Consider the following 15,117-nt stretch of genomic DNA (forward strand, 5'->3'; position numbering starts at 1 on the left):
CAATCCTGTCTCCCCACCCTGGCTCTTGGCAACCCTTAATCTGTTTTCTGTCACTATAGTTATGGCTTATTTTTAAAACATTTTATATAATTGGCATTATATAGTGTATAGTCTTCAGTGTCCTGCATCTTTCATTTAGGGTGATGTTAAGATTCATCCCGCTGTTGCATGTATCACTGAGGAGTACACCGCTGTGGTTATACCACAATTCGCCTCTTGATTCACCAGGTGATGGGCATTTGGGGGTGTTTCTAGTTTTTTGTTAAAATGAATGAAGTTGCTCTGAACATTCGTGTACAGGTCCTTCTATGGACATATGTTTTCATTGCTCTTAAGTAAATATTTGTGAGTACAATTGCTGAGTAGTATGAAAAGTGTATGATTAACTTTATAAAAAATGGCCAATCTGTTTTCCAACATGGCCTGTACCATTTTGCATTCCCATTGGAAGGGTATGAGAGTTGCAGGTGCTCCACATCCTCACCAACACTTGGTATGATTGGTCCGTTTTTGTTTTTTTTTGTTTTTTTTTTTTTGTTTTTAAGACAGAGTCTCGCTCTGTCACCCAGGCTAGAGTGCAAGGGCATGATCTCGGCTCACTGTAATCTCTGCCTCCTGGGTTCAAGCGATTCTCCTGCCTCAGCCTCCTGAGTAGCTGGAATTACAGGCGCATGCCACCACCCCCAGCTAATTTTTGTATGTTTAGTAGAGACAGGGTTTCACCATGTTGGTCAGGCTAGTCTCAAACTCCTGACCTCATGATCCGCCCACCTCGGCCTCCCAAAGTGCTGGTTGGTCTTTTTTGATTTTAGCCATTCTCATCAGTGTGTAGTGGTATCTCACAGTGCTTTTAATTTGCATTTCCCTGGTAATTATTGATGTTGAGCATATTTTTATGTATTTATTGGCCACTCAATATATCATCTTCTGTGGTATCTGTTGCCCATTTTTATTGGGTTCTTTGTCTTCTTATGAATGTATTGTGAGAGTTTCTCCAAACTGTTTTTATCTCCCTCTCTTCTCCTTCCTTCCTCCCTCTGTCCCTCTGCAGCTATCGTTCTCCCACAGTATCTCTGTCCCAGTTTTACCCTATGCCATTCTCAGGGTCTTCCACTATCTCCCCCTCACCCCTCTTCTTCATTGTCTCCTTCTCATGTCGTCCTTTCTCTTCTCCTCCAGGACACTTTAAAACCTGAGAAGCTAACATCCTTTCCCATTCCCTATTAGAAATAATGTCATCACAAGCCCACAGGTTACTGTCCTGGCCAGGCTCACTGTTCCAAGTGGGGGAAACATGCCCTCCCCAGATAAAGGCCCAGAGAAGTAAAAAGACAGACCCTAGTGTAATGAAAAGATGGCTTTGCATTCTGGCCTTTTCTGCCTCCCTAAAGGATTAATGGTGTTTGTGGATAGCAGTTCTTTTACTCAAACATAATATTGGAAATCCAAGAGTGTTAAGTGAAGTCCATCCCATTTAATCAGTGTTCCAACAGTTTCCACATACATAAGCCCTGTAGGGGTTTAACCTTCCCCAATCATAGGCAAGGAGCAGCCTAGCCCAAAGCCAGCTCCTTGTCATGTCTGTTTGAAGGAACCAGTGTGACAATATCTGATTACAAACTCAGAACACTTTATGCAGTGCTAAGAGTTCCTCAGGAGGGTGATTGTGGAATGGTTTCATTCTTCTTAATGCTTTATTATTGAGATATCATTCACCTACCATACAATTCACCCATTTAAGGTGTACAACTCAGTGGTTTTTAGTATATTCACAGATGTATAGCCATTACCATTACAATTTTAGGATATTCTATCACTTCAAAAAGAAACCTTGTGCCGTTTAGCTATCACCTCATATTCCCCATCATCCCAACCCTTGGAAATTATCATCTATTTTCTATCTCTGTAGATTGACTTATTCTGGACATTTCATATAAATGGAATCAACTAATATGTGGTCTTTTGTGTCTGGCTTCTTTCACTTAGCATAATGTTTTCAAGGTTCATCCATGTTCTCTTATGTATCAATACTTCATTCTTCTTTATGGCTGAATAATATTTCATTGTATGGTTGTACCATATTTTGTTTATCCACTCATTAATGAGTAGACATTTGAGTTGTTTCCCGCTTTGGGTTATTATGAATAATGCTGCTGAAACATTTGCCTATAAGTTTTTGTGTGGACACATGTTTTCATTTCTTTTGAGCATACACTAGAAACAGATTTACTGGGTCATATGGTAATCCTATGTTTAATCATATTAGGAATTGCCAGACTGTTCTGCATAGAGGCTGTACCATTTTACATTCCAACCAGCAATGTATGAGGGTTTCCATTTTTATACCTCCTCCCCAACACTTATTATTTGACTAAAGTGGTTTTTTGATCCTACAACTTGATCTTTGGACTGTCACAATTACATACATGACCACACATACATTTACGCAATCATTGACGTAGACACATGTACAAAATTACGTGGTGGGCATACTCGTACACACCTCTAGAGTTCACATACATACACACAGAATCTCATAATCACAATCCTTTATACAATTGTGTCTGCAATCCCACATCAGCACATATAGCATACACACATCAATCCATAGACCACATGTGTGAACAAAACAAGATTTGCAATGGACCAATGCCATCACACATGTACATTAAATTGCCATGGGCCTTGAGCAAACATACATGTTTGCTCAAAACAAAGGGACATATGTATTTAATAACACACTCATACCTACATAAACACAAATACACAAACAATAGTTGTACCCACAAAAGCATAGTCCTAAAAAGGCACACACAGAGTTACCATCATTTATCAGTAGATGACTGAAAACAGACTGAATGTATTTACTCTGGATGGCATGGAGAAGGTTTCATTATCCTTGGTGTACTAGGTAGGAAGACCTTTTCATTCATTCCTTCACTCATTCCTTTGTTCTTTAAGCTACAAGTACGTATTGAGCATGCAGAAATACAATGATGAACCAGACTTACATAGTCCCTGCCCTCATGGAATTTACAGTCTAGCAAGGAAACACTCATAATCTGTGATATGTGCTCAGAAGGAAATAAGCAAGGCAATATGTTTGCCAAAGCCCTAGGATAGTAGGCAGTTTACAGGAACTTTTTTTTTTTTTTGAGATAGGGTCTCACTCTTTCACCCAGGTTGGAGTGCAGTGGCACAACCATGGCTCACTGTAACCTTGACCTCCCAGGCTCAAGCGAACTTCCCATCTCAGCCTCCTGAGTAGCTGGAATGACAGGCACCTGCCATCACACCCAGCTAATTTTTTTAAAAGAGATGGGATCTTACTATGTTTCCCAGGCTGGTCTAGAATTCCTGGTTCAAGCGATTCTCCCAGCTCAGCTTCCCAAAGTGCTAGGTTTATAGGCATGAGGCACTGAGCCCGGCCTTCCAGGAGCTTTTATCATTTTATCATTATTGTTTCCTCTTTTATCCTAGAAAAGTGAAAGGGATTCAAATTCAACTACTATAAGTCATTGGATAGGCGTGTGTGTGTGTGTGTGTGTGTGTTTCTAGCAATAGTCAATAATAAGAATATGGGCTCAGAACTTGGACTACCTGATTTTAGATTTTCTTTGTTTCATACTAATTGTGTGACCTTTCTTTCCCTCTTTGTCTCAGTTTCTCATCCAAATATGGGGATTATAACAATTCCTTTAATAAGGATTAACTTAGCTGATACTTATAGAGTACTTAAAACTGCCTAGTAATTGCTCAGTTCTGAATCAATATTAGCCACCATTTCATTTTCCAAGAGCAGGTTTTCATAGAGGGAGATGGGTGGGGTGGGGAGAGGGACAGGAGGAGGAGCCTGTGTAGTGCCCTGTGGACTGTAAATTGGACGGCTCTTCATCTTCCACCCTATCTGAGCAGGCTTTTGGAATGCAGTCCTGGCAAGCCACCCCACCAGGCCATAAACCAGCTCCTCCCCACCTCCCTGTGCCCACAGCCACAAACCACAGAGAGGACGCACAATGGGTGGCACCAGGCATGGCTGTTGGTTTTCAGCTGTGTCAGGTCTTTCTACGTAGCTGCTCTGTTTGCTGTGGGCCTGGGTTGTGGCATTCATTGGTTCTGCTTGGCTGTCTTTTCTGTCTGTGCAGGTCAGCACTTATCACCCCGCACCTGTCTCTCCAGGACATTCCACAGCCGTGGTCAGTCTGCCTGGCTCCCAGCAACACCTCTCAGCGAACATGTGAGTAAAAGGCTCATCCCTTCACCCAAGTCCTGGCACAAAGGGGTCATCTTTACCATGTACAGTGGTGATCTAGCATCACCATTCCCAAAACATCCCATCCAGAGACAATAGGTCGCCTTCCTTTACCACTTCCAAGTGAAATAATGGTGAAAAACAGAAATTAGGGCCAGGCGCAGTGGCTCACACCTGTAATCCCAGCACTTCAGTAAGCTGAGGCAGGAGGATTGCTTGAACCCAGGAGTTCCAAACCTGCCTGAGCAACATAGTGAGACCTCATCTCTACAAAAAAAATTTAAAAATTAGCCAGGAATGGTTGTGCACATATATTTTCCTAGCTACTTAGGAGGCTGAGGCAGGAGGATGGGTTGAGCCCAGGAGTTTGAGGCATCAGTGAGCTATGATCATCCCACTGCTCTCCAGCCTGGGCCACAGAGTGAGACCCTGTCTCAAAAAAAAAAAAAGACAACACAAATTAGCAAACCACATCACTCTTAGCTCATTATTTTACAAAAGTAGAAAGAGACTGGAAGATTATATACCACAACATCACTGGGAGATTGGGTATTGAGCAATTTCTATTGTCTTGCTTTAGATTCAAAATGTTGGGTCATAAATACATGTTGTTTAGTAAACAGCAAAAAATAAATATAGCATTTTAGAAAGAAAAAACAAAACAAAAAAAACCTTGTAGAGAACACTCCCCCATTCCCTTTGATAAAACGCTCCAATGTCTCACAGTCCTTGGAGTCTGGAGGGACTTCCTGATGTCTGAGATGCCTGGAGGCCATATACTGGTGATCCCTGAATCTGGCAAACCAATGGATTGTTTCCTGAATGCCTTTGATCAGGTAGCTATTCCCACCTCCACAGCCTCATCAGTCCTGATTGTCTTTACCCCCTGACTCATACTTGGATATTACCTGCCTGATTCCTGTGTGGACTTCAGTCACAGCTAATTTTTTGTATTTTTAGTAGAGATGGTATTTCACCATGTTGGCCAGGCTGGTCTCGAACTCCTGACCTCAGGTGATCCACCTGCCTTGGCCTCCCGAACTGCTGGGATTAGAGGTGAGAACCACCGCACCCGCTCGACCAAGAAGGTTCTTATTGCTAACCACTGGGCAGTCTCTCTCCACCATTCCCCCACTCCATGCCCCCCATCAGGCACGTCTTCCTTCCTCCCTCACCAGTTCTCTGTGTCTTCCCAGGTTTGTAGCCCTGCACTCCTACTCAGCCCATGGACCCGATGAGCTGGACCTGCAAAAGGGAGAAGGCGTCAGGGTCCTGGGGAAGTGCCAGGACGGCTGGCTCAGGGGCGTCTCCTTGGTCACCGGGCGAGTCGGCATCTTCCCAAACAATTACGTCATCCCCATTTTCAGGTGTGTCGCCTCCAATCCCAGACTTTGGGAGGTTGGGCCACCCTAGGCCAGGGGCCATCTGTGGGTTGAACTGGTGGAAGACCCAGTGCTCTTTCAGAAAACAGGCCAAGAAAGCGCTTTTTGCTCTATAACCCGCCTATCTCTTTTAAAACAAAATAGCAAAACTAGTTATCTTTTTCGTAGCCCTTCACAGCTTACAAGCACTTTTGTATCTCTTAGCTCACAGGCTGTGCCCAAGAATCCTCTAAGGTAGATATTATGTTACAGATGAAAATGGTGTGCAGAGTTAAGCAACTTGCTCAAGAACTGGATGTCAGGTTTTCTTCTGCACAAATCCCAGGAACCCCACTTCACATCCTCTATCCCAATGCTCCATCTAGTGGCGTGATGGGAAAATGTGGTCAGATGACTTCCCCAGAGCACCTCGGGAAACTTCTCAGGCTGCTAGAGTGACCCCTAATCAGAGTTTCCATGAACTGAGACCCCTACCTCTTCCTCCACACCCAAGATGAAATGCTAGTAACCCTGCAGGGCCTCCTCCCTCACCGCTTTTCCCGATCTCTTACATTGTGTGGCATACTGTTCATGTCATTGACCCCCTCTTTGTCTTACCACCTCATACCACTGCCACAAATGCACCTAGACCCCAAAACTATCCATGACTCCTCCTGCCTCCACCCCCGATCAGCCCAAGCAAACCCTGTCTCAAGGCAGTGAGGCTACCACCACACATCCAACACTGTCTTTATGACATACCAGAGGGTCACAATCACAGGGAAAGAGCCCCATTGTATTCTGTGCGGGTCAGACCTAGTCATATGCCCACTTTTGGGGACCTTCATTTAGGTGAGCTGCCACGTCCGGAGGAGGGCAGCAAGAATGGTGAGGAGACAGCAAACTATATCATAGCAGAAACCGATAAAGAAACTGGGGTTATTTAACCTGTAGAAGACAAGGGACAGAGGGATCACAATACACTGTGTCAACAGGGCAGTAAATTTGTTCTGAGAGGGGGCAGTGGAGTGGATCAGTGTATGCAACTGGTCTTGGTTCAGTAAACCAAGACGTTCAAGAACATCTTGGTTCAATAAAAGGCAGCTTTTTCTAGCCCATAGATTTTTCCAACCAGGCTAGCTGGTGAGGTGGTGGACTCTCTTTTTAGAAAGAGTGCAGGCAAAGTCGGCCTGAGTCCTCATAGATCTAAAGTTGTATAAAAAGATTTCTTCACATGGCAGAAAGTCAGGATAAAAGATCATAGCTTTTCCTTTCAAAGAAAAGTTCTTGAAATTTGTTACAAAGTTGTAAAATATCCAAGGGCAAACTGAGGTCTATAATTGATGCTTTAATTCATTTAATTGGCAAATATTGAGTGCTAACTACATGGCAGGAACTTTTCCAGGCACTGGAGAAATACCAGTAAACAAAATATACAAAATTCCTGCTTACAGAAGCTTACATTCTAGTGGGAGAGACAAATTTTTAAAACCAAGATATTTAAGTAATCTTTATGATGTGTTAATTATACTGGCTAACAAAAAAATCAGAAAAGGAGGATAGAATTTTTGGGGGTGGTTACAATTTTAGATAGGTTGGTGAGGGATGGCTTTGCTGAGAAGTAAGAAGGAAAGCAGGAGCCAAGCCATGTGGATCTCTGAGGCAAATGTCCAGACTAAAGACACAGCAAGTACAAACAAAAGACCTGTAGTAGTCCAGGTGCAGTGGCTCATGCCTGTAATCCTAACACTTTGGGAGGCTGAGGTGGGTGGATCACCTGAGGTCAGGAGTTTGAAACCAGCCTGGCCAACATGGTGAAACCTCATCTCTACTAAAAATACAAAAAGTAGCCAGACGTGGTGGTGGACACCTGTAATCCCAGCTACTGGGGAGGCTGGGGCAGGAGAATCGCTTCAACTGGGAGGGCAGAGGTTACATGAAGCCAACAGGATTGGATTAGAGCAAGCAAGGGGGATATTAGAAAGGAAGCCAGAATGGTAATGGGGTAGCCAGGTCATAAAGAATTTCCTAGGTCATAATGAAGGGTTTAGCTTTAAGCCTGTTGCTGGGTTTTGAGCAGAAGAGTAACATAATCTTAGTTGTGTTTAACCAGAATCCCTGTATTTGCTGGATTGAGAATAAACTATACAAAGGAAAAGGGGGAAGCAGAAAAACTAGCTAAGAAGATATCATAATCCTGGGGAGAGGTGATGGTGAATTGAACCGAAGTGTTAGCTGTGGAGGTAGGGAGAAGTGGTTAGATTCTGAATACATCTTAGACAACAGGGTTTTCTAAAAGATAAAATGTCAGGTGTGAAAGAATAGAGGATCCAAGGTGAGAGCAAGTTTTTTTTTCCTGAGTGACTGCAAGATGGAGTTGCCTTTAAATGAGATAGTGACTGCTCCATAAAACGAGCATGTTTTGGGGTATGGAGGGAAGTAAAAGCTTAGTTCACAGCAGACTAAGCCTGAGATGTCTCTTAATAATCCAAGTAAAGGTGTTGGTAAGCAGTTGAATACATGAGTTTAGCATTTAAGAGAGAGCTCCAGCCTTGAGATGCTATTTAAAGCCCTGAAACGAGATGAGATCATCATGGTGGGATGAGTTGTATCCAGAGAATGACAACGAGCCAGAAGCTGAAATCTTCAAGGAGTGAGAGGAGAGACTTGGAGAGTAAATGCTGACTGCAGGAAGGTGGAGTGGTGGGTAGTCAAGTCTGATAATATGAGTCAAAGCTGGGAAGTATTGAGGAGTGTGGGAAATGGCCTAGAACTGACAGTGAGGAGCAAGGAGGATGCCTACCCTAATTCATGAACGGTTTCTTCCATGGCTTTAAAATGAATTCCCCAGGGCCCATCCCCACGACTAGGGCATTTGCTTATACATCAGGCCTTAGTCCTAAATCCTGGTTATACCATCAAAGACTCAATAGAATAAGGGTGACCATATGCTTTATCATCCAAATTAGGACACTTTTGGGCAGGTATCAGCTGAAACTCTCCCGGGAAAATCAAGCCGTGTGGTCATCCTAAATAGAGTGTGTGTAGAATTTCATCCCAGTGTATTTCAAGGCTCCAGTTTTCATTTCTCTCCTTGGCCAAGGTCGGTCTATTGTGTTCTTGGGCAAGTCATGAGCATCTCTACTCACCCCTTCTGAGATGCCTACATGTCAGGCAACAGATGGAGTTTCAGCACAATAGATTGCCATTGAGTTCTCCCCTCACTCCCAGTTCAGGGAAATCTGAACATATGCAAATATTGAGGTGCTACTAACATTGAGGCATGGTTTTGTTTATGGGGAACCAACATTCTCAGGAAGAACAAGTGCCTATTAGAGGATACGCTCCTGAGGGTTCTTAGGTGGCAGAGGATCAATGCTTTCACTGTGTTTATACTTTTTCCTTGATGATCTCTCTAATGCAAAAAAAGGCTCCCATCCCCACTAATCTCCCACATGAATGATACATACCCAGTCCATCTATCTGTGTGCAGGTGACCCTTGTTCTTAACCACCATTTCCTTGGTGGGAAGTTTACTTCTTCCCATGTCTCAGGGATGAATAATACTGTCCTTTTCAGCTGAGTTCCTACTATTATTATTAGCAAGTTTTGTGTAAGAACTGAGTGGATTGGGCTACATGTGCTAGGCCCCTTTCTGTTCTTTGATTCTCTGTGTTTGGGTCCTTTTCCCCCTAGCCTTTGTCTTCTGTTTATAATGATGGCTCTTCACTGCCATCCAGCCCCCTTGGTGTGTACTGCAGCCTTTTATAAAACAGCCAGGGCCCAAAGGTGTGAGCATTTGAACCTATGCTCTTATTAACATCATCACCTAATGAACTGAGCCACCCAGAATTTGGGGATAAACTAGAGATTATAATTGACTAGAATGCTAGGATTTCAATTTAAGAGCCAGCAAGTGAGCCTTTCAGCTACCAGGAGAGGAAAAGGCTGTTGTGCTATTCTGTGGTCCAGCCCTCGGTGCTAGATGATGACACCAACCTGTCCAGCTGTTATTGACCACAACTAAATCTCTGCCACCATGTTGCCTCTTCCCAGATCCTGGAGACTTTCATTGGCTCAGGTTATATAGAACATTTGTCAAGTTTTCATCTGTCCAGCATCTAAATCCCCCTTTAATAGCGGCAACATCCCTTTGGGTCTCCTCTATTGTGTGTAGTCTTGGTGGGAGGCAGAGGTTTCCTTTCTTTTCAGAGGCTGAAGAAATGCAATCCTCCTCCTCCTCAACTCATCACCACAGCTAAGGGTCAGTCTCAGCCAATATGACATTCCCTCTTGGGATTTGGAAACTTGAACAAGGGAGGAAAAGATGGGGGCAAAGTTGAAGACCACTCGATGTGAGAACACCAGCCACAGCATATGATTGGACTCTTCCTGCTGCTGAGCTCCCTGTAGCTTCCTTGGATCTTGTTTCCAAGTCCTCTACTCTTCTTCCTGTCCTCCTAATAAATACCCTTCTGCCCAATTAGCCAGGATCTTCCTCTTTCTTGCAACTTTCGCAGACATATGCCTACCTGGTGCCTTATGGGTGGAGAAAAGTGACAAATGGGCCACCACTCATTTGCCTTTAACTCTACACAAAGCTATACAAAAATTGTCAAGATCCAACTGTTCTCCTTACTGGGAGGCTGCTGCCAGTGGTGAACACAGTAGAGCTGCTGTTTGTGATGCCCTTTTTGAATATTGGGCCAGCTCTTAAGGGCTAACATCCCAGTTAGAGAAAAGGACGCAGGGACCTGCACGGTGGAGCAAATCAGAGGCAACATCCACTCTTCCCACCTAAGCCCAGAATGCTTTTCAGTCTCTCCATCTGGAAAACAAAGATCATAATGTCTGCAGGTCTGGGGGTGTCCTGGGGGTTAATATATGATAGCAAAGTGTTTTGACATTGGAAGAAAGTGCTAGATAAGTGCTGAGCTTTCTGCCAAAAGACATAGAGGCACTCAGTGTTGGATGGGAGACTTGGGATTTAGAAGTTCCTGGAATCCAGCTCAGTGCTGAGCTCAGAAAAATGAGGTCACACCTTGGTCTATAAAGAGTCATTCAAAAAGGGGACTGATGGAATAAGGCTGGTGTGGGCCTAATTAGCTGTATGCTGCCCTTGCTGCTGCTGCTACTGCTGCGAAAAAATTTGAAATTTGTCTTTCCTGTTGCCAGTCCACTTTGCAGCATCCAACACCTTGAGGCCTCTGTTCAAAAGACAGGCAGATCAGTTGCACTCTGGCATGGAAGCCAATGCTGGAGATTTCTTCCCACTGCCCAGGCCTTGTCCCCAGAATATAGTCTGACCTCTCTCTAATGAACAGCCGTACTCGTTTTCACTGACAACACCACCATGGGGACCAGAGACAGGTTGAAGTCCCCTTGCTGCGACCATCAGTTCCTAGAGCACTTGGTTGAATATACTTCTCAGGCAGCACTGACCACAATTAAACAATGCCTTACTTATCTTCGTACAATACTGGCTTGTTGTTAAACTACATATTACTTTGTCAATCAAAAGAAGGAAAGACAAAGAGAGAGAGGAGAAATGAGGGTAAATGACCTAAAGGAAAACTTGGAGGCATTGGTAAGAAGGAAACCATTTGGCATCTCTGTGCCAGGGTCTTAGTTGAGTTGGTTATTCCCAGGAAATTAGCAGAGGTTACTTAATCAACAGGGTGACAAGGTGATTAATGGACTGCTCAATAGGAAATGTGATGTTGGGAATGGATTGGTAAAAGGGCAAGAAAGGCATGTAAAATGACAGTCACTCCCCATGGAGTTCAGGGAGCTGCAGTCTGGAAACAGTGGATAAGGGATTGTTGTTTCATAAAACTTTAATGAAATTCTTGAAAATCATAGCCCAAGGCTGAAGAATTAAAGTCTTATGGAGGCATGTGTAGGGCCTACCATCTGCTTTAGTTCATTTGTTGCAGGCAGAATAAAGGACTTTTCCTGCCACCAAATGATGAATGCTCCAACTAGCCAGGAGGTGGTATAGCTCACTGGTAAGAACAGAGAGCCAGCCTAGACCTGGGTTCAAGTAGCTGCTTGGGCAACCAACTGTATAAGTCTTTGTGTTTTTTTATTTATAAAATAGTGGCACTAAGAGTACCTAGCTTAGAGGACTATTGTAAAGAACCCATGAGAAAATATGGGCAAAGCACTTGGCCAATACCTGGCATACAGTAAGCACTCTATATGTGTTAGCCAAAATGATGTGTCAGTGCTGAAAGCAGCATAGCAGACATTTAACAAATGTTTATTGATCCACAGTATATGCAGAACACAGATATATAAGTCATATGAAATCTCTGCCTTCAAAGACTTTGGAATTTGTGAAAAAGTCACTGACTCAACAAGAAATTGCCACTGTAAAACGAAATAAACACATATAGGATCTTATGCTCTGAGCTTAAGAGCTAAAGGGATGTGGGGTGAGGAATGATCAGAACTGGAGTGAAAAAGGATGAAATTCAAGTCTTCTAGCTCCACCAAGGCCTTGATATGAGCCCCCCTTCCTTCCCTCAGCACACCCTCACAGTTATCCGGGTGTAGGGAGGTGGGGCCAACTTTAGTTAAGCCTGTAGTTCACAAAATGGGTGTGTATGGGTGGGAAGAAGGTGAGAAGTAGCCACATTTGGTATGTGGTTGGGAGCTGATAGGTTTTTAAATAGGACTCTTGACTGAACATTTTCTTTCTCTATTTCTTCTCTTAAAAAAAAAATTTTCCAAAACCAGAAAGACCTCTAGTTTTCCAGACTCCCGGAGCCCTGGTCTCTACACCACATGGACGTTATCCACCTCCTCTGTGTCCTCCCAAGGCAGCATTTCAGAAGGTGATCCACGGCAAAGCCGTCCCTTCAAATCCGTCTTTGTGCCCACTGCCATAGTCAACCCCGTGAGAAGCACAGCCGGCCCTGGGACTTTAGGACAAGGGTCTCTTCGGAAAGGGCGGAGCAGCATGAGAAAGAGTAAGTGGTGGCAGAGAGGTACGTGCCTAGAGCTAAGTGATGGGGGGAATCTGACCCAGGGGTACACAGGATGCTTTTTGCAAAAACAGGATCTTGGCTTTAAACTAAGCCCCTGCAAAGGGTATTATACAATTCCCAAATGATGAGTTTTATTGAATGAAGTCATACCAACTCAAGGTGATGGCCCTAGGTTACTTCATACATGCTTGTTGAATGACTGGGGTGATGGCAGCCCTGAGTGCCAACATGTAATTAGAACATGGCCAACGTGGACACTGGCTCTTATTAAGACACAGTGATGAAAGCATTTGCTGGGTCAGTGCTTCTCAAACTGTATTCCAAGGAATCCCTCAGCGGGTGCCACAGGAGAAACAGAAGAATGGGGTGGATGGGCAGGGCGTGGGAGTAGGAAATGAGGATTAAGGAGGCAGTGATCAGAGCCCCTGATTCCCACCATGTTATTTAAGTAATGAATGCATAGAACTTTTTTAAAAAGGTTTACAGTATACGAACTGGACAAAAGCAAATCTCCCTCATATCCTTAACCCTGAGTCCCAAGTTCTCTTCCATAGATAGACAGATGGAAACACACACACCTGTTAACCATACTCACTGCATTGTTCTACACCTTGCTTTATTTTTACCATCATAACATCCACATTGCACACATGGCAGTACATACAGATTCTTGAGAACTATGCTTTTGTCTCTTCACATAGTGAACTTCTACATAAGATTTCCTTTTCAGGCATTGTAAAAAGTGTTTGAAACCCAATTCTTCTACAAAAATCAAGATTTTATTTTCTTATACCTCTGTAGAAGAAGACAACAAGCCAAGCCCAGAAAATATGATTTATTCTATGTTCCCTGAATTAAACTAAGCTCTGCGATCTCTCTTGTGATCTTAACAGATGAATTAACATGAAAACGCAATAGGATTGGTCAATACAGAAGAGTAACGTGTGGGACAATATGCCCCTTTTTAAGGAAAGATCTCCCCTTAAAAAGAAAGCACATATCTTAGCTTCGCTGTCCAGTGCCTTCATCTGACAGCCTGTTTGACTACCAGTCCCATGACTCTGGGCACTTCATTCCACCCAACTATGCCTCCCTCCATCACCTTCCTGTACCTCCCTCCACCTCTCCCCACAACACACACACACAATAAGTAATCCCACCACAACAGCCTTGGGAAAATGACTAATTTCTTCTGCCTTCAGTTCACTCTTCTGTAAATGGGAAATAAAAATTCCTACCTCATCAGGGTTAACTTAATAAAACAACCCATATATGGCTGATAGCACAGTGCCTGGCACATAATAATCTGTCAGGAAACATTAGTTTTTTATAGTATTTTTTTATTACTATCATTGCTACTGCAATCAAGATCATCTTTGGTCCATCCAGAGCACGAACTCACTTAAGGTTGAAAGGTTCATACACGGCTGAATGTGTGTGGCTCACACCTGTAACCCTAGCACTTTGGGAGGCTGAGGTGGGAACATTACTTGAGCTCAGGAGTTCAAGACCAGCCTGGGCAATATAGTGAGACCTCATCTCTAAAAAAAAAATTAAAAGAACAAACCAAGTATGGTGGCACTTGCCTGTGGTCTCAGCTACTTTTGGGGCTGAGGCAGGAGGATGGCTTGAGCCGGGAAGGTTGAGACTGCAGTGAGCTACAATCTCCTACTGTACTCCAGTCTGGGCTGTTAGTGTCTCTCTCTCTCTCTCTCTCTCTCTCTCTCTCTCTCTCTCTATCTATCTATCTATCTATATATATATATTTGATTTAAAAAACGAGAAATGTTCACACTCAGTCTAGACCACTTAGGTATGCAGAGTTGCATCCTGAAAGCAATTGCTCACACTTTCCTTAATATACTCCCTCTCCACCTTTGCAAAACCTTGATTGGCATGGAGCCTCGACTGCTTGCATTGTATACACATGTAATAAGAAAGCATTAAATCTCTTGGAAATTAGGAATTGACAAGATAAATAGATAAGGCATAAAGCCAATTTTTCACACATTTACAAGAGCCTAAGGACATGTCTGCCTGGTGCTGCTTTGACTTCCCAGGTCCGGGAGGCTTTCTCTTTCTCTCTTTTCCCAAGGTGAGGCTGGCAAGCTATCAGTCTCTCCAGAGCAAAGAGAAATGGCAGGAGAATTGACTGCGTGAACCCCACAGGGCCGTTAGTGGAAAAATAAATGTCTAAATTGAAAGGGTCACACTTGTGTAGATGGTGACTGTCTTGCTTGCAGCAGCTGAGGACACCGACTGTGTTTAGCGAGTGTCCTGCTTTTCATGTACACATCTGGCTTAATAAGAAGTCACGATGCAGACGTGGCCTTGGCTCAGACCCTCTGTGCTGGACACAAATGACTTTGATTCAAACTCAAGTCCTTGGAGTGTCACAAAGGACTAACAACGCTGGCTGGGACAAAACCTACAGCTTCTCTAAATGCTGAGGGGCCCCTATGGAGAAATGGCCCAGTGTGTTTCTCATGGGTGTCTCCTCCACTTCCCCACA

General features: G+C 43.7%; 1 protein-coding gene and 1 long non-coding RNA gene across 6 annotated transcripts in view, besides 1 other annotated feature; one reads left to right on the forward strand and one right to left on the reverse strand.

Moving 5' to 3' along the window:
• LOC107986458 (uncharacterized) overlaps positions 1 to 15,117 on the reverse strand; it is a 131,758-nt gene that overhangs the window by 107,926 nt on the left and 8,715 nt on the right. The window lies entirely within an intron of this gene.
• SH3RF2 (SH3 domain containing ring finger 2) overlaps positions 1 to 15,117 on the forward strand; it is a 145,196-nt gene that overhangs the window by 107,049 nt on the left and 23,030 nt on the right. For 3 of the 5 annotated variants that reach the window (XM_006714757.2, XM_017009136.2, NM_152550.4), the window contains exons 6-8: positions 4,146 to 4,237; positions 5,449 to 5,619; positions 12,355 to 12,587. In XM_006714757.2, the coding sequence (XP_006714820.1) occupies positions 4,146 to 4,237; positions 5,449 to 5,619; positions 12,355 to 12,587 (496 nt within the window). Of the gene's footprint in view, positions 1 to 4,145; positions 4,238 to 5,448; positions 5,620 to 12,354; positions 12,606 to 15,117 lie in introns of all 5 variants that reach the window. The other 2 variants (XM_011537568.3, XM_011537567.3) reach the window with 1 other exon arrangement.
• Positions 5,047 to 5,547: an enhancer, noted in NCBI's record as "H3K4me1 hESC enhancer chr5:145428236-145428736 (GRCh37/hg19 assembly coordinates)". NCBI's record gives its function as "activates a minimal SCP1, AML or CMV promoter by ChIP-STARR-seq in primed H9 embryonic stem cells {active_cell/tissue: H9 hESC(primed)}" and the evidence as "EXISTENCE:reporter gene assay evidence [ECO:0000049][PMID:30033119]".

Source organism: Homo sapiens, chromosome 5 (genome assembly GCF_000001405.40).
Source record: "Homo sapiens chromosome 5, GRCh38.p14 Primary Assembly".
NCBI classification, from domain to species: domain Eukaryota; kingdom Metazoa; phylum Chordata; class Mammalia; order Primates; family Hominidae; genus Homo; species Homo sapiens.